The sequence below is a fragment of the Homo sapiens genome, chromosome 17 (genome assembly GCF_000001405.40).
Source record: "Homo sapiens chromosome 17, GRCh38.p14 Primary Assembly".
In the NCBI taxonomy this organism is placed as follows: Eukaryota; Metazoa; Chordata; class Mammalia; order Primates; family Hominidae; genus Homo; species Homo sapiens.
This window is the reverse complement of record NC_000017.11, coordinates 18,238,318-18,259,473: the sequence shown is the minus strand read 5'-3', so window position 1 is coordinate 18,259,473 and position 21,156 is coordinate 18,238,318. Positions and strand designations below refer to the sequence as shown.

At 59.5% G+C, this 21,156-nt stretch overlaps 2 protein-coding genes across 22 annotated transcripts in view, besides 10 other annotated features; one reads left to right on the top strand and one right to left on the bottom strand.

Moving 5' to 3' along the window:
• Positions 452-14,659, top strand: FLII (FLII actin remodeling protein). 6 transcript variants are annotated; one of them, NM_001256264.2, is made up of 30 exons: positions 452-1,027; positions 2,455-2,565; positions 2,877-2,948; positions 4,211-4,291; positions 4,620-4,705; positions 4,792-4,953; positions 5,292-5,395; positions 5,755-5,930; positions 6,016-6,173; positions 6,918-7,002; positions 7,328-7,475; positions 7,658-7,794; positions 7,997-8,209; positions 8,457-8,636; positions 10,066-10,148; positions 10,273-10,347; positions 10,591-10,674; positions 10,753-10,924; positions 11,441-11,545; positions 11,626-11,817; positions 12,117-12,305; positions 12,422-12,561; positions 12,646-12,880; positions 13,012-13,166; positions 13,252-13,312; positions 13,412-13,540; positions 13,624-13,730; positions 13,814-13,919; positions 14,055-14,120; positions 14,202-14,659. In NM_001256264.2, exons 1-30 carry the CDS (start codon positions 998-1,000, stop codon positions 14,334-14,336), a joined length of 3,777 nt encoding a protein of 1,258 aa, NP_001243193.1. In that variant the 5' UTR covers positions 452-997; the 3' UTR covers positions 14,337-14,659. The 6 variants fall into 6 exon arrangements, with proteins under 6 accessions (NP_001243193.1, XP_005256615.1, NP_002009.1 ...); XM_005256558.4 differs by having other exon boundaries at positions 736-846; positions 7,661-7,794; NM_002018.4 differs by having other exon boundaries at positions 736-846.
• Positions 645-1,044: a silencer, noted in NCBI's record as "silent region_8273". NCBI's record gives its function as "represses an Ori minimal core promoter by ATAC-STARR-seq in GM12878 lymphoblastoid cells {active_cell/tissue: GM12878}" and the evidence as "EXISTENCE:reporter gene assay evidence [ECO:0000049][PMID:35858748]".
• Positions 645-1,365: a biological region, named in NCBI's record as "H3K27ac hESC enhancer GRCh37_chr17:18161423-18161924".
• Positions 864-1,365: an enhancer, noted in NCBI's record as "H3K27ac hESC enhancer chr17:18161423-18161924 (GRCh37/hg19 assembly coordinates)". NCBI's record gives its function as "activates a minimal SCP1, AML or CMV promoter by ChIP-STARR-seq in primed H9 embryonic stem cells {active_cell/tissue: H9 hESC(primed)}" and the evidence as "EXISTENCE:reporter gene assay evidence [ECO:0000049][PMID:30033119]".
• Positions 1,055-1,194: a silencer, noted in NCBI's record as "silent region_8272". NCBI's record gives its function as "represses an Ori minimal core promoter by ATAC-STARR-seq in GM12878 lymphoblastoid cells {active_cell/tissue: GM12878}" and the evidence as "EXISTENCE:reporter gene assay evidence [ECO:0000049][PMID:35858748]".
• Positions 1,365-1,444: an enhancer, noted in NCBI's record as "active region_11833". NCBI's record gives its function as "activates an Ori minimal core promoter by ATAC-STARR-seq in GM12878 lymphoblastoid cells {active_cell/tissue: GM12878}" and the evidence as "EXISTENCE:reporter gene assay evidence [ECO:0000049][PMID:35858748]".
• Positions 2,104-2,770: an enhancer, noted in NCBI's record as "H3K4me1 hESC enhancer chr17:18160018-18160684 (GRCh37/hg19 assembly coordinates)". NCBI's record gives its function as "activates a minimal SCP1, AML or CMV promoter by ChIP-STARR-seq in primed H9 embryonic stem cells {active_cell/tissue: H9 hESC(primed)}" and the evidence as "EXISTENCE:reporter gene assay evidence [ECO:0000049][PMID:30033119]".
• Positions 10,769-10,838: an enhancer, noted in NCBI's record as "active region_11832". NCBI's record gives its function as "activates an Ori minimal core promoter by ATAC-STARR-seq in GM12878 lymphoblastoid cells {active_cell/tissue: GM12878}" and the evidence as "EXISTENCE:reporter gene assay evidence [ECO:0000049][PMID:35858748]".
• Positions 10,769-11,367: a biological region, named in NCBI's record as "H3K27ac-H3K4me1 hESC enhancer GRCh37_chr17:18151421-18151970".
• Positions 10,818-11,367: an enhancer, noted in NCBI's record as "H3K27ac-H3K4me1 hESC enhancer chr17:18151421-18151970 (GRCh37/hg19 assembly coordinates)". NCBI's record gives its function as "activates a minimal SCP1, AML or CMV promoter by ChIP-STARR-seq in primed H9 embryonic stem cells {active_cell/tissue: H9 hESC(primed)}" and the evidence as "EXISTENCE:reporter gene assay evidence [ECO:0000049][PMID:30033119]".
• Positions 11,918-12,469: an enhancer, noted in NCBI's record as "NANOG-H3K27ac-H3K4me1 hESC enhancer chr17:18150319-18150870 (GRCh37/hg19 assembly coordinates)". NCBI's record gives its function as "activates a minimal SCP1, AML or CMV promoter by ChIP-STARR-seq in naive and primed H9 embryonic stem cells {active_cell/tissue: H9 hESC(naive and primed)}" and the evidence as "EXISTENCE:reporter gene assay evidence [ECO:0000049][PMID:30033119]".
• Positions 14,599-21,156, bottom strand: part of LLGL1 (LLGL scribble cell polarity complex component 1) — a 19,241-nt gene continuing 12,683 nt past the window's right edge. For 2 of the 16 annotated variants that reach the window (XM_047436006.1, XM_047436007.1), the window contains exons 16-23: positions 20,865-21,012; positions 18,601-18,896; positions 17,759-18,023; positions 17,475-17,589; positions 17,196-17,308; positions 16,846-16,966; positions 16,652-16,731; positions 14,599-15,566 (exon numbers count right to left, since the gene is read on the bottom strand). In XM_047436006.1, the coding sequence (XP_047291962.1) occupies positions 16,653-16,731; positions 16,846-16,966; positions 17,196-17,308; positions 17,475-17,589; positions 17,759-18,023; positions 18,601-18,896; positions 20,865-21,012 (1,137 nt within the window). In that variant the 3' untranslated portion in view covers positions 14,599-15,566; position 16,652. Of the gene's footprint in view, positions 15,567-16,651; positions 16,732-16,845; positions 17,027-17,195; positions 17,309-17,474; positions 17,590-17,758; positions 18,024-18,600; positions 18,897-20,864; positions 21,019-21,156 lie in introns of all 16 variants that reach the window. The other 14 variants (XM_011523849.3, XM_011523850.3, XM_011523853.3 and 11 more) reach the window with 11 other exon arrangements.

Here is a 21,156-nt window from a genome sequence, read left to right as displayed (position 1 = left end):
TGTAGTCCCAGCTACCCGGGAGGCTGAGGCAGGAGAATGGCGTGAACCCGGGAGGCGGAGGTTGCAGTGAGCCGAGACTGCGCCACTGCACTCCAGCCTGGGCGACAGAGCGAGACTCTGTCTCAAAAAAAATAAAAAATAAATAAAATAAATAAATTTAGCCAGGTGTGGTGGCCTGCGCCTATAATCCCAGGTAGTCGGGAGGCTGAGCCCAGGAGTTCGAGGCTGCAGTGAGCTATGATCACACCACTGCACTCCAGCCTGGGCAGCAGAGCAAGAAGACCCTGTCTCAACAAAACAAAAACAACACATGAGGAAACTAAGTCCAGAAGCAGGAGAGCTAGGACCCGAGGATCCAGGTGTCTCACTACCACCGGTCAGCCAAGTACAGGCACTTCCTGGGCCTCTGCGCCCCGGGGCCGAGGTTTAGAATCTCTCTGAGGTCAGGGCCAGCTTCATGTGCTGCAGCAGCGCAGGTGACGGTGCCTCGACCAGCGGCCGTTACGGCCCCTGCCCTGGGGCGCTGGGACTTAAGCCTGGAGATCGTGGAAGCCTCCAACTCCAGCACAGGGGGGGCCCGCACTCCTTGGTGCCTCCGCAGTCTTCGAACAGACGGGGAAACTGAGGCCCTAAGAGGCCTAAAGCCTACACTTCCCCGCGGAATGCGGCGGGCGCGGGCGGGTTAAAGGGGCGGGGCCGGCGCTGGCCCAGCCCGCGGCTCCCCCCAGCGCCCTCGCCCCGGCGCTCCCTAGCCCGGCGCGGCCCGGCAGCGAGAGCGGCGCCATGGAGGCCACCGGGGTGCTGCCGTTCGTGCGTGGCGTGGACCTCAGCGGCAACGACTTCAAGGTGAGCCGGGCCGGGCGCGTGCCGGGCCTCCCTGCAGGCCTTCTCTTCCGCCCGGCCCGCTTGGCCTCCGCTTCCTGTCCCGCTCGGCTCCAGGCCCTGCGTGTCCCAGGGACTGCGGCCGGGGCGGGGTGGGGCTCTCCCCTGGCCAGGAATGGACCTCCGAGGCCTCCGCCCAGTGCCTGTACGGGGAGACCGAGGCTGGGCAGGCCGGGGACGGACGCTTGGGCTCGGAGTCCCGCCGGGGGCCCGGCCGGGAGCCCCCACCCCGCGTCCGTGTTCTCGGTCTAGGCTGGATGGTGGCCTGGGGATCGGGCGAGCCTCCCCGCCCCTCTGAGGTCACACGCCCAAGCCAGGCCCTGACTCAGGGATGGCTGCCCGGCTGCCCAGGGGCGGGTGTGGAGCCGACTCATCACTGCCCTCTCCCCGCCACCGCCACCCGCCATACTGTGTGATCCTGGGCCTCTCAGATCACTTCCCCTCTCAGAGCCTAGGCTTTCTCAGCCGGTGAAGGGGCTTAAAAGTCTCCTCCTTGGACGCAAGGAGTATAGTGAGATTTGTTGGTGTGGAGAGTGTGTCAGGCCGGTGTGCCAGGTGCTGGGTGGCAGTTGTCTGAGCAGCTGCTGGACTGAGAGAAAAGGGACCGGAGCCCAGCCCTCCGCAGCCAGTGGGTGGGGCGGCGGGGTGGTTCCAGGACTCAAGAATGAGACAGGCATTGCCTGACCAAAGGGGAAGCAGAGAAAGAGAGGGAGGGAGAGCTGGCTGGAGGGTCAGCCTCACCTTCAGGGTGGGTGACTGGCAGGGTCGGCCTGGGTTGTTGGTCTGGGGCTGGGGCCGAGGAGGCAGGTTTTTCCTGCGTTTACCTGCCTGTGTACACACCTTTGACCCCAAGTACAAGTGGCTACACCACTTTTCCCTGACCCCATCCCCACCACCCTAACCTGGGGTCCCCGTTCCTCTTTGCTGAACTGGGAGAGTCCGAGTCACCAGCTGGGAATGTGGCGCTAGGGGGAAAGGAATATCAGCCGCAGGCACTGAAGGCACCTACTGCCCCAGACTTGGTGCCACAAGGGCTGGAGGTGCCGAGGTGGGCGTTCACACACCAGGGGAGTGCAGTGATGCTGGCCTGCCCTGCAGGGTGGGGAGCCACGGTCTCCGCAAGCAAGGGTTTGACCCTGGCCGTGAGTTGCCAGTGTGCTGATGGCAGGATGAGGGCACAGGTGGCGCCTTTGCAAAGGCTTGGAAGGGGGATCCCCCACCCCAGGCAGCCAGTCAGAGTGTGGAATGCTAGGTGAAGGAATTTGAGCCGAGCTAACCACAGAGCCGGATGCTGGGCTTTCACCTGAAACAAGCCAGTTTTGTCCTGGCCCTCCTGGGGCCCAGAATCCAGTAGGAGAGACAAATCTTAGGCCAACACTTTTGTCACGGGGGGGCTTAAAATTCCCATTCTATGGGTGAAGAAATTGAGGCACAATGATGAAATGACTTGTCTGTGTTCTCACAGATGGTGAGAGTTGGTTCTGTGGCTCCCCAAAGGCTCCCATGGGCTGGAGGAGCCATAGAAGGTGGTGAGCAGGGGCTCTGTGCTTCACCTTGACATCCTTCCCCCAGGGCGGCTACTTCCCTGAGAATGTCAAGGCCATGACCAGCCTGCGGTGGCTGAAGCTGAACCGCACTGGCCTCTGCTACCTGCCCGAGGAGCTGGCCGCCCTGCAGAAGCTGGTAAGGGGGTTTGGGCGGGCAGGGGAGGGTCCCTGTGGATGAGCCAGGTGGGCAGAGCCTGTGGAGAAGGCAGACAACTTCTCCAGAGAGAGGAACACCGACAGCTATGAGCAGAGCTGGAAGAAAGGGAGTGGGCACCCTGTCCAGGGAGGTGTGCAAGAAGAGGCCGGGTGAGTGAGGGAGGGAAGCTGCAGGGGTAGTTGGGCCAGTGTGGCTGAGGCCTTCCTGGATGGTGCAGAGTTGTGGAGGCAGGCAGGGACTCTGGACACCCCACCCACCCTGCTGAGCCTGTGCTCCCCATTCCGGCCCAGGAACACTTGTCTGTGAGCCACAACAACCTGACCACGCTTCATGGGGAGCTGTCCAGCCTGCCATCGCTGCGCGTGAGTGCTGGCCGGGAGGCCACCGAGCTTGGGGTTGGGGCCAAGGTCCGGTCAGGGACGTGAAGCCTGGGCTAGACACCAAGCTGGGCCAGCATTTCTGCCCACCTCCGTGTCAGGCTCAGAGGCTCAGGTGTCACAGAGGGGCCCTCTCATTAGAGGTTACAGCAGTGCCCTGTGTAAAGTAACCCATGTGGATCAGAGAATTCCATCAGGAAAAAGGTAAAGAAATCCAAAATCTTACCAGCCGTTATGGACAATAACTACAGTAATAATAGCCAAGACTGGCTGAGCAATGTTCCCACTATTCTGTTAGGATTTTTTCATATGCTCTAGCCCTCCACTAATGTTGCAGAAGAGAAACTTGGCCACCAAGGCAGATTACTTGCCCCAGGTCACAGAGCCAGGCAGTGGTAGAGCTGGTGTTGAGTGGGGTTTGGCCGGGAGCACCGTGTACCTTCTACCCAAGACTTGAACGTCCCAGAACATCAGGCCCTTGGCCAGACCCTGTAGGCCTCAACGAGGGCCATCCCATCTGAAGTCAGAGCCCTGGAGATGTTTAGGGCACAGCTTCTGACTTGGACTCTCTGAGTTCAAAGCTGGGCTTTGCCACTTCCTGGTGATGTGACTTTGTACAAATCGCTTCTACCTTCTGGGCCTCCTCTGCAAGTGCAGTGGTTGGGAGGGGCAGCAGTGACCCCGTGAAGCAGCAGCAGGGTGCCGCACAGGCATTCAGACTGGAGAAGTGGCGGGGCAGCTCCGGTGACTCCCGTTGTCACTTGGAGTCACGACACCATTCTCTGGCCCTGTTCCCTCATGCTCAAGCTTTCTGCATGTCTGTAAGGTATGAGGAGGTGTCAGTCTTAAGTTAGGGAGAGAAAGCAGACTTCCTCTCCATCCAGATTCTGATTTCTCTGTGGTCCACTTCTCTCCCTCTGTTCTGAAAACCCTGACTCAGACCTTACCCCTATCTCACCTTCTGGAATTAAGAAGAAGAGAAATGGTTTGAACAGAAAAGGTTCCCTGAGGGCCCTGTGCTGGGGCTCCGGGGCACATTTGAGCTGGGCTTTGAGGCATGAATAGGAGCTCACTGGGAGGCTAGGAAGAGCGCTCCAGGAGAGGGAGCTATTTGATCAAAGGCCAGAGGTGAGAGAGTCCTCAGGCCTGGCCTCTGGTGAGCTGCCTGAGGAGGTGTCCCTCTCTAGACTCTGTTCCTTCCTGAGAGTGGAAGCCAGGAATTATAGACTCTTATGGTTTATTCCCAGGCCATCGTGGCCCGAGCCAACAGTCTGAAGAATTCCGGAGTCCCCGATGACATCTTCAAGCTAGATGATCTCTCAGTCCTGGTCAGTGGCTACCCACTCACCTGGCCCCTGTGCTAGCCGGACCATTCAATCCCCACTCACTATAAAAGTCCCTGGGGCCATTGTTATCCCATTTTGCAGATGGGAAAACTGAGTCTTGGAGTGGATAATACCTTGCCTGAGGTCACTTTTGGAGTCAGATCCCTAACACAGGCACTCTTCCTCCCAAGTCCCTGGCTGTCTCCCTTTGGCCCTGAAGCCCCCTCATCTACCCCCACACCCAACTCAGTGCCCTGCCTGATCCCCAAGCTTGGCAGACGCCTGGTGGGGAGGAGACTCCCCTGACCTGGGTCTTGCCCCTTCTACCCAGGACTTGAGCCACAACCAGCTGACAGAGTGCCCGCGGGAGCTGGAGAACGCCAAGAACATGCTGGTGCTGAACCTCAGCCACAACAGGTGCCAGGCCAGTGGGGGGCAGGGGGCAGGTGGGCCCTGTGGGGTGGCTGGTGCTGACTCAGGTGGCTCCTGCTCCCCACCCGTAGCATCGACACCATCCCCAACCAGCTCTTCATCAACCTCACTGACCTACTATACCTGGACCTCAGCGAGAACCGCCTGGAGAGCCTGCCCCCGCAGATGCGCCGCCTGGTGCACCTGCAGACGCTCGTGCTCAATGGAAACCCCCTGCTGCATGCACAGCTCCGGTGGGCGCCCCCTCGGACCGCACTCCTGCAGAAGCCACCCTGAGGAGTCTGGCCGGGCCCCTTCACTTCCCAGGGCCCTAACCCTTCTCCCTTAGGCCCAGCCATCCCTCCGTGCAGGCAGCACCCCTCAGTGTACAACCTCCTAAGTATCATGTCCACCTCTCAGTCCTGTCTTCCCGCTTACACACCCCGCAACCACCCTTGGGCTTGTCCCTTCAACCAGATGTGACCTCACACCTACCCTCTGGGCCCTGTGCTTTTGGTCCTGCCCTGCCAAGCCCCACCCTTAACACTCCCTAGGTGGGCCCTGGCCCTGACCACTCACGTCACCCTGGCAGGCAGCTCCCAGCGATGACGGCCCTGCAGACCCTGCACCTGCGGAGCACCCAGCGCACCCAGAGCAACCTGCCCACCAGCCTGGAGGGTCTGAGCAACCTCGCAGGTCAGGCAGCCCCAGGAGCCCCTCTGAGCTCGGGCCCCCTCTGGGCCCTCTTGCTTCCTTGGGTGGAAGGGGTTGAACCCTGCTCTTCGGACCAATACCCAGAGGGAAAAGGCTGGAGTTATGTTACAGTGACTTTTGCGATTATGATGATGCCTTAACACTGACTTTATGCCTAGAAAACTCCCCCGCAACCCCCATGTGAGGGAGTTTGTCCAAATGGAGAAACTTGGGCGCACAGCAGTTGTCACTTGCCTAAGCCACACAGCTCAGAGGTGGCAGAGCTGGGGTTCACACTAGGGCTGGCTGCCCTGGCACCTGGTGTATGGGCCCCAGCTGATGCACCCCACCCTGCACCCCAGACGTGGATCTGTCCTGCAATGACCTGACACGGGTGCCCGAGTGTCTGTACACCCTCCCCAGCCTGCGCCGCCTCAACCTCAGCAGCAACCAGATCACGGAGCTGTCCCTGTGCATAGACCAGTGGGTGCACGTGGAAACTCTGAACCTGTCCCGAAATCAGCTCACCTCACTGCCCGTGCGTCTGAGGCCCTCAGTAGGGGGATGGGAGGAAGGCCGTGAGCCTGGCCCTGACCTCCCACCCCTGCCCGTTCCCCCTCCAGTCAGCCATTTGCAAGCTGAGCAAGCTGAAGAAGCTGTACCTGAATTCCAACAAGCTGGACTTTGACGGGCTGCCCTCAGGCATTGGCAAGCTCACCAACCTGGAAGAGTTCATGGCTGCCAACAACAACCTGGAGCTGGTCCCTGAAAGTCTCTGCAGGTGCTGGGCAGGGCTGGGGCTAGCAGAGGCACTTGCAGCACAGAGAACCCCGGGATCGTAGTCAGAGCCCACCTTGTGGTCTGTGCAAGTCAGACAAAATGAAGATGGGTTAATTCACCTTTTCTTTTCTTTTCTTTTCTTTTTTGTTTTTGAGACAGAGTCTCGCTCTGTCGCCTGGGCTGGAATGTAGTGGTGCAATCTCGGCTGACTGCAGCCTCTGTCTCCCAGGTTCAAGCGAATCTCCTGCCTCAGCCTCCTGAGTAGCTGGGATTATAGGCGTGCGCTACCACGCCCGGCTCTTTTTGTATTTTTAGTAGAGATGGGGTCTCACCATGTTGGCCAGGCTGGTCTTGAATGCCTGTCCTCAAATGATCAGCCTCCCAAAGTGCTGGGATTACAGGTGTGAGCCACCACGCCCGGCCCAGTTAACTCACCTTTGTGGATGAAGACCACAGTCCCATGCCAGCCATTCCCAACTTGAGCCCCTGAGAGCACCCTTCGGGGGGCACTGTTAGGGACAAGGCCACATGACGTGGGAACGCAGTGTTGCTTCTCTCCCCTTCTGGAGATCACAGTGCCCGTAACATGGTCTCTTGGCTCTGAGAAGTCCTTCAGGCAGAGAATGGAGACCCCCGCCAGTTCCTCTGACCCTACCTGCCTCCCCTCCCCAGGACTAGGGGTTTTCTTGCCCACTTCCCCTTGTCTGTCACCTGCCTGAGGCCCTGGCTGGCCCTGTCTTCACAGGTGCCCAAAGCTGAGGAAACTTGTCCTGAACAAGAACCACCTGGTGACCCTCCCAGAAGCCATCCATTTCCTGACGGAGATCGAGGTCAGGCATGCTGGGTTTGAGAGGGCTCAAGAGAGACAAGCAAGGGGTGTGCCCTGGAGCAAGGGGGACCCAGCAGAGGCCTCCTGAGGGAGGTGGCCAGTGCCAGGGTGCCCGTGGGGAGAAGGTGGGCCCCACCTCCCTGCATCCAGAGTACATTCCACAGTCTCATTTAAGCCCCCAGCCAGCCCCAGAGGTGGGTGGGAGGAGAACCCAGTTCCCTGACCTCTCAGCCCTGGCGGCTGCAGACAAGAGCAAGAAACTGGATTGGTGTGTCTGGGAGGTAGGACCCAGGCTCAGTGCCGGCTCTGCTCACCCTATGGGGCAGGTCCTGGATGTGCGGGAGAACCCCAACCTGGTCATGCCGCCCAAGCCCGCAGACCGTGCCGCTGAGTGGTACAACATCGACTTCTCGCTGCAGAACCAGCTGCGGCTAGCGGGTGCCTCTCCTGCTACCGTGGCTGCAGCTGCAGCTGGTGAGTGGGGAAAGGTCTGGCCTGGGAACGGGGGCTCCTCTCCAGGCCTCAAATGACACATCTGTAAATTGGGTGGCATACAGCTTTCTGGACCCTGGTGGGTGGAGTTGGCCCCTGGTTGGTCGCATGCCCAAGGGGGCAGCAGGCCCAGTGAGGGCTCAGCTGTTTGCCCCTCCCCTAAGCAGGGAGTGGGCCCAAGGACCCTATGGCTCGCAAGATGCGACTGCGGAGGCGCAAGGATTCAGCCCAGGATGACCAGGCCAAGCAGGTGCTGAAGGGCATGTCAGATGTTGCCCAGGAGAAGAACAAAAAGCAGGAGGTGAGCCAGGCCAGGGTTGGGACAAGGCAGGGAGCCTTAGCTTCTGCTGAAGGCCGACCCTGGCCTTGACCCTGGCCAAGAGGGACGGGGGGTGCTGGGCAGAAAGAACAGCTGTGCAAAGGCCCTGAGGTGTGGGTAGCAAGTAAAGACTGGCCTGAGTGGCTTCACAGAGTCAAGCCGTGCTCTGTGACTCTGCCCCCAGGAGAGCGCAGATGCCCGGGCCCCCAGCGGGAAGGTGCGGCGTTGGGACCAGGGCCTGGAGAAGCCCCGCCTTGACTACTCCGAGTTCTTCACGGAGGACGTGGGCCAGCTGCCCGGACTGACCATCTGGCAGATAGAGAACTTCGTGCCTGTGCTGGTGGAGGAAGCCTTCCACGGCAAGTTCTACGAGGCTGACTGCTACATTGTGCTCAAGGTGAGGGCTGGGCATGCTGTTAGGGGCCATGTGGCCCAGTACCTTCCTCTAAGATGGCTCAGTCCCCAACTCCAGAGTTTTGTTCAGGGAGGCCAGGTGGGAGGTGGGCAGGCTGCAGGAGGTGGTCCAGGCACAGGGGCAGTACAAAGCCCCTGGGGCTGGGAAGCCTGTGCTGTTCAGAGTGGCGTCTCCGGGGTGGCCGGAAGACCAGGATGAAAGCTGATGTGGCCGGTGCCTTGGCTTCCAGACCTTTCTGGATGACAGCGGCTCCCTCAACTGGGAGATCTACTACTGGATTGGCGGGGAGGCCACACTCGACAAGAAAGCTTGCTCTGCCATCCACGCTGTCAACTTGCGCAACTACCTGGGTGCTGAGTGCCGCACTGTCCGGGAGGAGATGGGCGATGAGAGCGAGGAGTTCCTGCAGGTGCCAGCCCGTTAAAATTGGGGGTGGGCAGAGTGGGGTTCCCAGGGAACTCTGGTGCAGGGGCAGTGGGCCCAAGGCAGGTAGGCAGAACAGGTGGGCAGGCAGGGAGCTGGGGTTAAAGGGGGTGGATCAACGATACTGTGCGGGACCTAAGGCAGACCGCAGGGTGAGGTCTAAGGTGGCCAAAGCCTGGGTCAGCAAAGGAGAGTTCTGGAACGCGGGGCAGAATTCAGCCGGGCAAGGATAAGGGTACAGGCTGGGCATGGGAGCTAGACCAGTGGGCTGACACAGGGGAGCTGAGAGTAGGGTGGAAGGGGTGTTGCCAAGAGCAGTGAGAAGGCAGGGCCAAAACCTGTTATTAGGAGGCAAGGACACACCTGGATGCCAAGGAGGTGGGGCCAAGGGCGGGACCAGAGTCCAGTCTTGAATAAATTACTGAGCAGTGTTAGCCGCCAGCTGGTTACACCTAGACATATGTTCGCATGTACACACACGTGGAGTTTATGCACACACCCCACCCGCCCCGAGTTTTTTTTACCCACATTCACCCAGGTTTCCACTCTTCCATGAACCCACTTGCTTGTGTACCCTGATATGCGTGCATCTAAACATGCTGCTGGCATCTTTACAAACGTGGGTGAACGTGTCCATATTTTTCATACATCCCAACACCCCGACGTGTGTATGTTTATAGACACAGATGTGTATGTTTTATTTTAGACAGACTCTCGCTTTGTTGCCCAGGCTGGAGTGCAGTGGCACAATCTTGGCTCACTGCAACCTCCGCCCCCAGGGTTCAAGCGATTCTCCTGCCTCAGCCTCCCAAGTAGCTGGGATTACAGGCATGTGCTACCACGCCTAGCTAATTTTTGTATTTTTTTAGTAGTGATGGGGTTTTGCCATGTTGGCCAGGCTGGTCTCGAACTCCTGACCTTAGGTGATCCACCCGCCTTGGCCTCCCAAAGTACTAAGATTACAGGCATGAGCCACCGTGCCCAGCCAGATCTGTTTTTTTTGTTGTTGTTTGTTTGTTTGTTTGTTTGTTTTAAGACAGAGTTTTGCTGTTGTTGCCCAGGCTGGAGTACAATGGCACAATCTCAGCTCACTGCAACCTCCGCCTCCCAGGTTCAAACAATTCTCCTGCCTCAGCCTCCCGAGTAGCTGGGATTACAGGCATGCACCACCACGCCTGGCTAATTTATGTATTTTTAGTAGAGACAGGGTTTCTCCATGTTGGTCAGGCTGGTCTCCAACTCCTGACCTCAGGTGATCCACCCACCTCAGACTCCTGAAGTGCTGGGATTACAGGCATCATAGATTTGTAGCACTCAATTCACCTGTATGCAACTCTGTACCCCCACCTGAGGGGCAGTGGTTGGTGGGGGAGGGGGCAGCTCAGTGATGAAGAACCACACCCTCACACACACAGGTGTTTGACAACGACATCTCCTACATTGAGGGTGGAACAGCCAGTGGCTTCTACACTGTGGAAGACACACACTATGTCACCAGGTGAGGGTGTGTGGGCAGTGGGGGGTATGGACCTGGAGTCTGCTGGCAAGGGGTGGAGGGGAGGGTGTTGGGGCTAAGTTAGGCCCTTGGTGCCTACACTGAGCCACTCTTGCCCTGCGCCCAGGATGTATCGTGTGTATGGGAAAAAGAACATCAAGTTGGAGCCTGTGCCCCTCAAGGGGACCTCTCTGGACCCAAGGTGAGCCCCAACAATGTGAGGTGGGGGTGCTTCATCCTCAGCCTCCTCCCCACCAGTGGGGGCAGGTGTGGGCCTCTTAGAAGAGGAGGCCCTCTAGCAATTCCTGCCCACGAGCTTGGCGGGGGGTCCCTGGGGCTTACCCAGAAACCCCATAGTGAGGGATTTTTTTTGGTGGGGTCAGGAGCATGGGGTGACCATTGCCCCATGCACCATCACAGCTCCTTCCTGCCCCTTCTTGTCCAGGTTTGTTTTCCTGCTGGACCGAGGGCTAGACATCTACGTATGGCGGGGGGCCCAGGCCACACTGAGCAGCACCACCAAGGCCAGGTACAAGGACACCGTGGGGTCTTTTGTGTGAAGGAAAGGGGTGTGAGCCTCGCTGATGACTTTGCATCCTGCTCTCAGGCTCTTTGCAGAGAAAATTAACAAGAATGAGCGGAAAGGGAAGGCTGAGATCACACTGCTGGTGCAGGGCCAGGAGCTCCCAGAGTTCTGGGAGGCACTGGGTGGGGAGCCCTCTGAGATCAAGAAGCACGTGCCTGAAGACTTCTGGCCGCCGCAGCCCAAGCTGTACAAGGTGAGCCCTGCTGCTGAGGCCCACCTTGGCCTCCCAAGTTCACCCACCGACTGGGGGAATGGACTACACACCGATGTAGTTGGCTTTGGGCTCCATCTCGACTTTGGTGGGGAGAGGGTGCCACCTTCTGGACAAGGAACAGTATGAGCAAAGGTCTGGAGGCTGCTTTTGAGAAGTAGCCTCACGGAGTCTTTCCAGGATGGTGGGGCCGTAGGGGAGACAGAAGCACCTAGTGCCAGGGCTGGGAACCTTGGCTCAATTATCTAGATTCTTGTGAACAGGAAAGGGACACGTTAATTAGAAATGGCATGAAGGGCCTGGAGAGGGCAGGCAGGGAAAACTCCATTTAAAAGCCCTTCTGAAAGGATATCCCTAAAAAGACCTTGAAGGGGAGGGGGAAACAGAAGCAGTCAGTGAGCCACGCTGCAGGGCAGGGCTGGTTCCAGAGCAGAGGGCTGTGTGGGTGAGGTTCCTGTCTCCAGATCCCTTCCCTGCCATGCTCATCCTTCCTGCCAGGTGGGCCTGGGCTTGGGCTACCTGGAGCTGCCACAGATCAACTACAAGCTCTCCGTGGAACATAAGCAGCGTCCCAAGGTGGAGCTGATGCCAAGAATGCGGCTGGTAAGAGATGCAGGAGGAGGGCGTGGGGCCAGATCCCTCCCCGTTGGCTGGGCTTTGACCTCCAGACTCCCGGTCCGCAGCTGCAGAGTCTGCTGGACACGCGCTGCGTGTACATTCTGGACTGTTGGTCCGACGTGTTCATCTGGCTCGGCCGCAAGTCCCCGCGCCTGGTGCGCGCTGCCGCCCTCAAGCTGGGTCAGGAGCTGTGCGGGATGCTGCACCGGCCACGCCATGCCACGGTCAGCCGCAGCCTCGAGGGCACCGAGGCGCAGGTGCGCTTGCAGCTTCGGAGGCCCCTCCCCAGGATCCTTCGCACCCTGACATGCCCTGACCCCTGTGGCTTCACTACCTCCCTACAGAGCTGGGCCCAAACCCACCTCCTCTTTGCTGACTCTGCCCAGGCCCCGCCCCCTCTGCAAGCTGCCCCTCCTATTCCTACCTCCGTGTCCGAGGCCCCGCCTCCCAAGCCCCGCCCTAGATCTCCCTTGGGTCCCGCCTCAAGCCTCGGGCTACTTCCTCCAACTCTAATCATGCCGCACCCCTCATGGTTAGTTGATGGCCTCCCTGGCAGGTGTTCAAGGCCAAGTTCAAGAATTGGGACGATGTGTTGACGGTGGACTACACACGCAATGCGGAGGCCGTGCTGCAGAGCCCGGGTCTCTCCGGGAAGGTGAAACGCGACGCCGAGAAGAAAGACCAGATGAAGGCTGACCTCACTGCGCTTTTCCTGCCGCGGCAGCCGCCCATGTCGCTGGCCGAGGTGGGGGCAGGGCCGGGACCGGGGCGCGGGGGGGGGGGTGGGGGGCAGGCCGAGGGCGGGGCCTATGCGCAGAGCGCGCTCAGACCTGCCGCGGGGCGGGTCCCTCTCACCTGCAGGCGGAGCAGCTGATGGAGGAGTGGAACGAAGACCTAGACGGCATGGAGGGTTTCGTGCTGGAGGGCAAGAAGTTTGCGCGGCTGCCGGAAGAGGAGTTTGGCCACTTCTACACGCAGGACTGCTACGTCTTCCTCTGCAGGTACCACCTCAGCACTCCCTTCCCCAAGTCCCTCCCCTGGTGCTGGGGGCTCGAGCCCCTGCTCACAACCTTCCAACCCGGCAGGTACTGGGTGCCTGTGGAGTACGAGGAGGAGGAAAAGAAGGAAGACAAGGAGGAGAAGGCCGAGGGCAAAGAAGGCGAGGAAGCAACCGCTGAGGCAGAGGAGAAGCAGCCAGAGGAGGACTTCCAGTGCATCGTGTACTTCTGGCAGGGCCGTGAAGCCTCCAATATGGGCTGGCTCACCTTCACCTTCAGCCTGCAAAAGAAGTTCGAGAGCCTCTTCCCTGGGAAGCTGGAGGTGTGCCTGGCAGCCCCGCGAGCCCGAGGCCAGGCGGAGGGGTGTGGTGGGGCTCAGACCCAGCGAAGGTTAGGCTCCCGAGGGGCAGGTGGGGGTCCAGGGAGCTGCCCCTAACACTTCCACATCCCCAGGTGGTACGCATGACGCAGCAGCAGGAGAACCCCAAGTTCCTGTCCCATTTCAAGAGGAAGTTCATCATCCACCGGGGCAAGAGGAAGGCGGTCCAGGGCGCCCAACAGCCCAGCCTCTACCAGATCCGCACCAACGGCAGCGCCCTCTGCACCCGGTGCCTGGCTGGGGGAGGACGCAGTGGCGAGCAAGCGTCAGGGAGCCAGGCCTGAATCCTTGCTGATGCCCCATCCCTTCCACAGGTGCATCCAGATCAACACCGACTCCAGCCTCCTCAACTCCGAGTTCTGCTTCATCCTCAAGGTGGGGTTGTGGGTGTGAGCCAGGACTCCGTGGACCAAGGGGTGGGGTGTTTGGGGGCTGAGTCAGCTGCGAACACCCCCACCCCTGCACACTCCCCAGGTTCCCTTTGAGAGTGAGGACAACCAGGGCATCGTGTATGCCTGGGTGGGCCGGGCATCAGACCCTGACGAAGCCAAGTTGGCAGAAGACATCCTGAACACCATGTTTGACACCTCCTACAGCAAGCAGGTCAGGAGGCGGGCGGGCAGGCGGGCACACACAGAGGAGCCAGGGCAGGCAGGGGCCCTGGGCTGGACTGGCCTTTCCCGCAGGTTATCAACGAAGGTGAGGAGCCTGAGAACTTCTTCTGGGTGGGCATTGGGGCACAGAAGCCCTATGATGACGATGCCGAGTACATGAAACACACACGTCTCTTCCGGTGAGGCCAGGGCCCTGACCCTCCCCTCAGTCCTGGCACTGCTGCTTATGACCTCTGGCCTCACCTTGACCCTTGATTCCCAGGTGCTCCAACGAGAAGGGCTACTTTGCAGTGACTGAGAAATGCTCCGACTTTTGCCAAGATGACCTGGCAGATGATGACATCATGTTGCTAGACAATGGCCAAGAGGTGTGATGTTGCCACTAGCCCTGCCCATCCAAGGAGGCGCCCATAGACTTACTTACAAATGGGAATTCTCGGGCCAGGAGCAAGGGGCTGTTCCCAGGCACCCATGCAACCGTATCTCCCCTGCTGCCCCCACAGGTCTACATGTGGGTGGGGACCCAGACTAGCCAGGTGGAGATCAAGCTGAGCCTGAAGGCCTGCCAGGTAATCTGGGTGGAGGGAGGGCCGAGGTGGGCCTGTGGGCAGGGCAGGGTCATCACCCAAGGCTCGCTGTCCCCTTGCCAGGTATATATCCAGCACATGCGGTCCAAGGAACATGAGCGGCCGCGCCGGCTGCGCCTGGTCCGCAAGGGCAATGAGCAGCACGCCTTTACCCGCTGCTTCCACGCCTGGAGCGCCTTCTGCAAGGCCCTGGCCTAAGACAGGCTGGCACAGCCCCAGGCTTGGTGAGGAAGAGGAAGGGGCCTCATCCACTGTCTGCTAGCAAAGAATGTACTCAGGTGACACCACCTGCTCCAGCCACGTCCAGTGCCACAGTCCCCAGTAGCCTCAAGCAGCACCAATGGGGATGACCCTGACAGGTGCCCTCAGGGGTCTGGGAAATCCAACTCTCTCCACAGTGTGAGTGCACGTGTGAAGCCCCCTCACTCTTCCGCTAGGGATAAAGCAGATGTGGATGCCCTTTAAGAGATATTAAATGCTTTTATTTTCAATATTAAAAATCAGTATTTTTAATATTAAAATGGCGCTAATTTTAACAAAACGACAGAAAAAAACCCCAAGGTACAATCTACAGGGAAACTCATCTTGACCCCCCCCCCTGCCCCCCCCCCCCGCCGGACACACACACCTGACTAGGCCCCAGATGTGGGTGCCCAGCAGAGCTCCCAGTCACATCCATGCCCGCACACACACACTCATGACAGGCTGGGGACTGGCCCAGAAGCAGGTACCAAAATAGTTTAGTTTTAGAAACAACTGTCCAGCCCAGGCGCTAGAAAAATACTCTTTGCAGGGCTGGGCATGGTGGCTCACGCCTGTAATCCCAGCACTTTGGGAGGCTGAGGTGGGTGGATCACGAGGTCAGGAGATCGAGACCATCCTGGCTAACATGGTGAAACCCCATCTCTACTAAAAATACAGAAAAAATTAGCTGGGCGTGGTGGTGGGCGCCTGTAGTCCCAGCTACTTGGGAGGCTGAGGCAGAAGAATGGCGGGAACCCAGAAGGCGGGGCTTGCAGTGAGCAGAGATGGGGCCACTGCACTCCAGCCTGGGCGACAGAGCAAGACTCCGTCTTTAAGAAAAAAAAAAAAAAGGAAAAATACTCTGCAAAGTGAGGGGGAAGGATGGTGTGTGGAGGGGGGGAGGTGGCACAGGTGCTGGGCCCCACCTGTCCTCTTCCCTAGGCAGTGGGCCCCCAGGGCAGCCAAATGCCTGCAGGAGGGCTCAGTTCTGGCCCAGGTCCCAGGCCCACACCCTGGGGCTGGTGCTGCTCCAGGGCCCAGGGTCAGGCGGGACAGGACAGCAGGTCCCAGTGGAGCCTACAGGTTAGCAGGCGTGGTTCTATGTTAAGGGGCCAGGCAGGTGCCAGGGATCCAGCACTCCAGCTCCGAGCAGGGCAGGTGGAGGTCGGGATAGTTCTGGCCTTCCTGGAAGAGGGAGAGAAGAGGTATCAGCAGAAGGTGAGGGAGGGCAAAAGGGCAGATGGATTGCCACAGCGGCCAGACCACACAGGTGCTGCCACTGTCTCCTCTGCAGGGCAGGCATGGCCCTTCAGTGACCACCTGAGATGGGCTTGCTGAGTCTCCAGATGGGTATCCAAGCGCCAGGCCACATATGCCCCACTGAGGCCAGGGAGAGGCACCAGACAAAGAGCTGGGAGGTGTCCATGTCCTGTGCAGGGTGAGGCTATGGCCTACAGTCAGGTGCCTGGGAACATGAGGCAGCAAATGCGCTGGGCAGATCTATGGGCCCCACATCTAGGTGAGGATCCACAGACTCAGGCAGGGGTAAGTCAGCCACTTGCTGGGCCCAACCGATGAGACCTGACCTCGTGCACCTCAGTGATCTCATCTATGAAACAGGCTGGCCAAACCAGCTCCCAAGCCCCAAACTACTGCCACCTCTAAGTGGTTTAATCTGGTCTTGTTGGCCGGGTGCGGTGGCTCACGCCTGTAATCCCAGGACTTAGGGAGGCCGAGGCGGGTGGATCATGAGGTCAGGAGATCGAGACCATCCTGGCTAACACAGTGAAACCCCGTCTCTACTAAAAACACAAAAAATTAGCTGGGTGTGGTGGCGGGCGCCTGTAGTCCCAGCTGCTCAGGAGGCTGAGGCAGGAGAATGGCATGAACCCAGGAGGCAGAGGTTGCAGTGAGCCAAGATCACGCCACTGCACTCCAGCCTGGGCGACAGAGCAAGACTCCGTCTCAAAAACAAAACAAAACAAAACAAAACAAAACAAATCTGGTCTTGTCCTAACCACCACCTGTCACATGCAAGGGCTGAGGGGCTGGCCCTGCTTTTCTAATACCCAACCATGACACTGGTGTCTGTGTGAGCACCAGAAGTCCCCAATTGAGGCACTCCATGGAAGGCAGCCAGGTTTCAGAGAGTGCCATCACATGGGCCTGCCAGGGTCTCAGGTAGAAGACCAGGGCCAAATGGTACCCAGACGGGCTGAAGGGGGTGGACGTCACCAGTGGTGAGGACCAGGGCCCCACCCCTGCAGCACCTCATTTGATCAGGATGGCACAGGCGTGGGCCTCGTCTTCTGCCAGGTTCCTCAGGTTCTTCTCTGACTCCTCAGAGGAGCTGCGAGATGGGGATGGTGCTCAGGGGTGGGGGCGGGGGAGCCCCTGGCAGCCCTGGGGACGGAGGCCTAGGGGACAGGGCAGCCCCCCCTGTGGACCTGCCCACCAGCCTCACCCCAGGAAATCCTTCACATCTTCCACTGTGACGTCCCCTGTCGTGTCCAGCGTGGTGTCAGCACTGGTGGCTGAGTCGATGGACATGGGTGAGAGTGCAGCCTCGGGTGGCTCCGGGGTGTCTACAGGGAGCAAGTCATCAGCCCCTACCAGGACCCTTAGCACCCTCTGCACCTGGGGGCCTAGGGACACAGACCCATAAGGCAGCCCATGGTGAGGGGTGGCACCAGTGAGCACACAACCACCCATCTCCTACAGAAGCCTGCCCGATCCCTGAGCTATGTGAGTCCCGACTCCCTCCCCCAGGGCACCGTGGGGCCAGGGTCTGGACCCCTTTCATGCCCCCCTCACCAGGTCCCATGCTGTGGGCTGGATCAGGGCTTCCATCAAGGCTCTGTGGGGCCAGCAGGATGCTTGGGGTCCCGTTAGCCTGGCTCAGCTTGGGTGACTCTCGGATCCTGTAACTGCAGAGATGGGGCCATGATGGGGACCATAGGTGGATGACTTGAGGCTGGCACGCTAGATCCTTGCCCTCCCACTCCTGAGCCCAGGGAAGGCAGATCTCGGGGGTGGGATGAGACCTGGCCCTGGGCACAGGTCCCCCAGGCTAGGAGCTGCCCCTCCACACACCTGGCCTGGGTGGCATCGCGGGGCCAGTTAATGTCCAGAGAGCAGAGCGGCTCTGTGATGTTCCGGGCACTTAGGGAGAAGCGTTCAAATTCTGATGGGGATATCAGGTAAAAGCCTGGGTGGGCAGAAGAATGAGGAGTGCAGTTAGAAGATACCACCAACCACAGCTCCTCCGTGGCCTGGGCCTGTGCCCACCTGGAGTGCCCTTCCTGCTCCCAAGCAGTACTGGTCCCACTCAGTTCGCTCGCCTGAGGAAGGCCTCCTCGGCCTCTGCCCCGCCTCACCCTGGCCATGGCGCGTAAAGACGCACGAAGCGATGCCGCTGATGTCCTCCTTCCGGATGCAGGAATAGTGCACCTGGGGCCGCAGGCCAGGCACCGAGAAGACGTGGACGTCACCCAGGTTGGTGAGGCAGGCCAGGCAGGTCTCAGCATAGTCCTCGCAGGCCACACTGGCAAACGTGGCCAGTGCCACCTTGCGCACACGACAGCCCTCATGGGCCGTCAGCTTGAACTTGGTCTTCGCGCTCACCTTGGGCAGTGTGAACACCTGACAGCAGGTGGCTGGTGAGCACAAAGCCTGGCCCTGTCCTCGTCCCCAGGGCCCCTCACCCTCGTGGCTGCTGACCCAACAGCCCCCACCACAAAGCCCAGCTGCATGCTACGTGGCCTCCCGTGCCTGTACACCTGGCTGCCCCACTAAACTCCAGACTTCACACTGTACTCCAGAAACCTCCCAGGCCCTCTCTCGATCTGTGACAAAATCAATCACAGAGTTATGCCAAGGTTATGCAGCTGGTATCCCCATCAAACCTCGAGTTCTTTCGAGGCAGAGCCCCTGGGGACTGGGCTCAGGGGTCTGGGCCCAGTACAGGAGCCTTGTGTGGCACAGTGAGATAGGACTAGATTCCTGCCCTCCCAGGGGAACTCAGCAGGCTGAGGGGGCATCAGGGTTCTTGGGTAGGAGTTCTCTGCTGGCTGGGAGTGTTTTCTGGGGTGCAAGGGAATTAGGGTCCCAACAGTGGGGGATACAGGCAGGAAGGGTTTCTTGAGGGTCCAATGGTGTCCATGAGGTTGGGGCCTGGAGGGGAGTCCCCCAGAGTCCCCCACAGCCCACAGTGGCTCACCTTGAACTGCTCCTCAGATGCGATGAGCACAGCGTGACCACCCTGCATGTCAGGTGCCTGCGCCAGGTCCCGTGAGGCCTCGTAGGGCTCGGGCAGTGGGCGGCCACGCCCGTCCAACACGGCAATGGCCACCACAGGCGCCCGGTGCATCAGCTGCACCTCCTTGCCCAGCACGGCCTCCACCGCTTGCTCAGGCCGCTTCTCACCACCCACTGCTGCTGCCGGCACCTCCAGTGCATAGGCGAACACAGAGCCTGAGTTGGTGCCAGCCCACATGGTGGGCCCGTGGTGGGCCCCTGCAGAAAACAAGCGCGTAGGAGGGTGCTCCCTGTGGGCCAGGCATCTCCCCTGGGGTCTTCCCACAGACTGCAGGTCCCTCCCTGCCTCTCTTGTAGCCCTGCTTCCTAACTATGACACCCTGGGACTCAGGGCTGATTCCCTCCTGCCCCATGCCTCCCTGGTGACCTCCAGCCTCGAGGCCTGAGACCCCAGCTCTATGCTGCTGACTGCAGTCGGAGCCCAGGATGCAGCCCTCCTGCAGAGGCCCGAACAGCTGTAGCGCATCTGCACAGAATGCTGATGGGCACCCAAACCAGACCTCCAGCCCCATCCCACTGCACCCTCAGCCCCCATCTCAGTAAACGCAGCTCCATCCTAGCATCACTCAGGCCCCAAGCCCCACAAGACCCCGACTCCTCTCTCCACCCCTGCGTCCCCTTGCTAGTCCTGTCGACAGGTGTGCCTTGTCTTAGCCCTGCTTCACCCCCACTGTCTTCAGTGTGCTCCCTACGTGGCAGCCAGAGGAAGCCGCCAAGCCTGGGGACACCTAGGACGACCATCCATCGACCCTGCTCTGCCTGTGTGAACTGAACCTCTGGGTGACAAGCTTTAGTGGAGAATCAGAGCCCAGCCCAGCAGAAGCAAGAGCAGACTCGGCACCTGCTCCCTGATGACCCGATGGATCCTGAGGCATTAAGTGTCTGCACAACTCAAAACATGCCCAACAGGAACCCCAGCCGGCCATGAACATGAACCCATCGGCCTTCTCGGGCCAGTGGAACAAGTTAAAAACCCCAGGCTCTCCTCTTCTAGGTCTTTGTAGTCAAAAAAAACAAAAAGTCAAAGAACCCCCCACCCCCAGCTGCACCCGCCACATCCAGACAGTGAGAAAATCCACTGCACAAAGACCCTCGACAAATAAATGGCATCAGAAAGCTGAGCTCGTAGACCAAGCAGATGACACTCAGGAATTCACATTGGTTCTACAGGGCATGATGTGAGCAGTGGCTGTCAGTGACATCTGTCAGGAACATGCTGAAGTACTTGTATCTGGGTTTTCATTTAAAATACCCCGGCAAAAAAAACAGCAAAGAATGTGGAGGAGGGGGGCAGAATCCGCAGGGGCACATGGCTGGTGGCAGGCATGTGAGGTATGTGGGACAACTTTGCACCTCTCTATTTTTGTGTATGTTTGAAACTCTCCCATTGTACAAGTTCAAAATCAATCAGTGACTCAATCAACAAATCCAGGACCTTCCCAGGGCTCCCAGGCCACTGAGAATCAAAGCCAGGTCCTCAGCCTCTGGCCAGCAGCAGTATCTCCCTGAACCACACACCTCGACCCTCACCTGCTCCACTCCAGCCAAGTGGCTGGGCAGCTGCCCACACACATGCCCGGCTCGGGGCCTGGGCACTGGCTGGTGCCCCTCACCGTCATCCACCAGGCCTCAACCTCCCTTCTCCTGGCTCAGATCTGAGAGGCCCACCCAGCTCACTCAAAAATCCTTTACCATCCAGCTCCCCCAGAGAGACTGGGGGTGACCCAGCAGTCCCCCTGGGAGAGCTGGATGGTAAGCTTTTTTTCTGAGAAGGTCTCACTCTGTTGCACAGGCTGGAGTGCAGTGGTACGATCTCGGCTCACTGCAACCTCCGCCTCCCACGTTCAAGCAATTCTCCTGCCTCAGCCTCCCAAGTAGCTGGGATTACAGGCGCCCGCCACCACACCTGGCTAATTTTTGTATTTTTAGTAGAGACGAGGTTTCACCATGTTGGCCTGGCGGGTCTCAAACTCCTGACCTCAGGTGATCCGCCCACCTCGGCCTCCCAAAGTGCTGGGATCACTCACAGGCTTGAGCCACCGTGCCCAGCCACCTCCTGGAAGGTGCAGTCCCACCACCTCCCTTGCCACCACCCATCTCCCAGGTGGCCAATTGAGGCCAGCCCCCCCAACCCTTGCCCTGTCCCTGCCCCTGCCCCTGCCTTACCATCTCGAAGGAATGTGTCGGCAAAGTATAGGCAACGCACGACACCCGACAAGGAGTCATCGGCAGAGCGGGGCTCAATGCGGCGCTGCACGGGCGTCATCTCCACGTCGTGGGGGCAGGCCTGCTCAGCCAGCTGTGCATTGGCTTCCTGCAACTGCCGGGCGGGGGCTCCTGAACACTGTCTCCCTAGCACCCCAGTGGCTTGCATCCTGCTTTGCGCCCTACGTTCTGTTACCATTCCTCTACCACCCAGCTTAGTTCACCCATCCCTCTGGAGGGCCCAGGGGCTGCC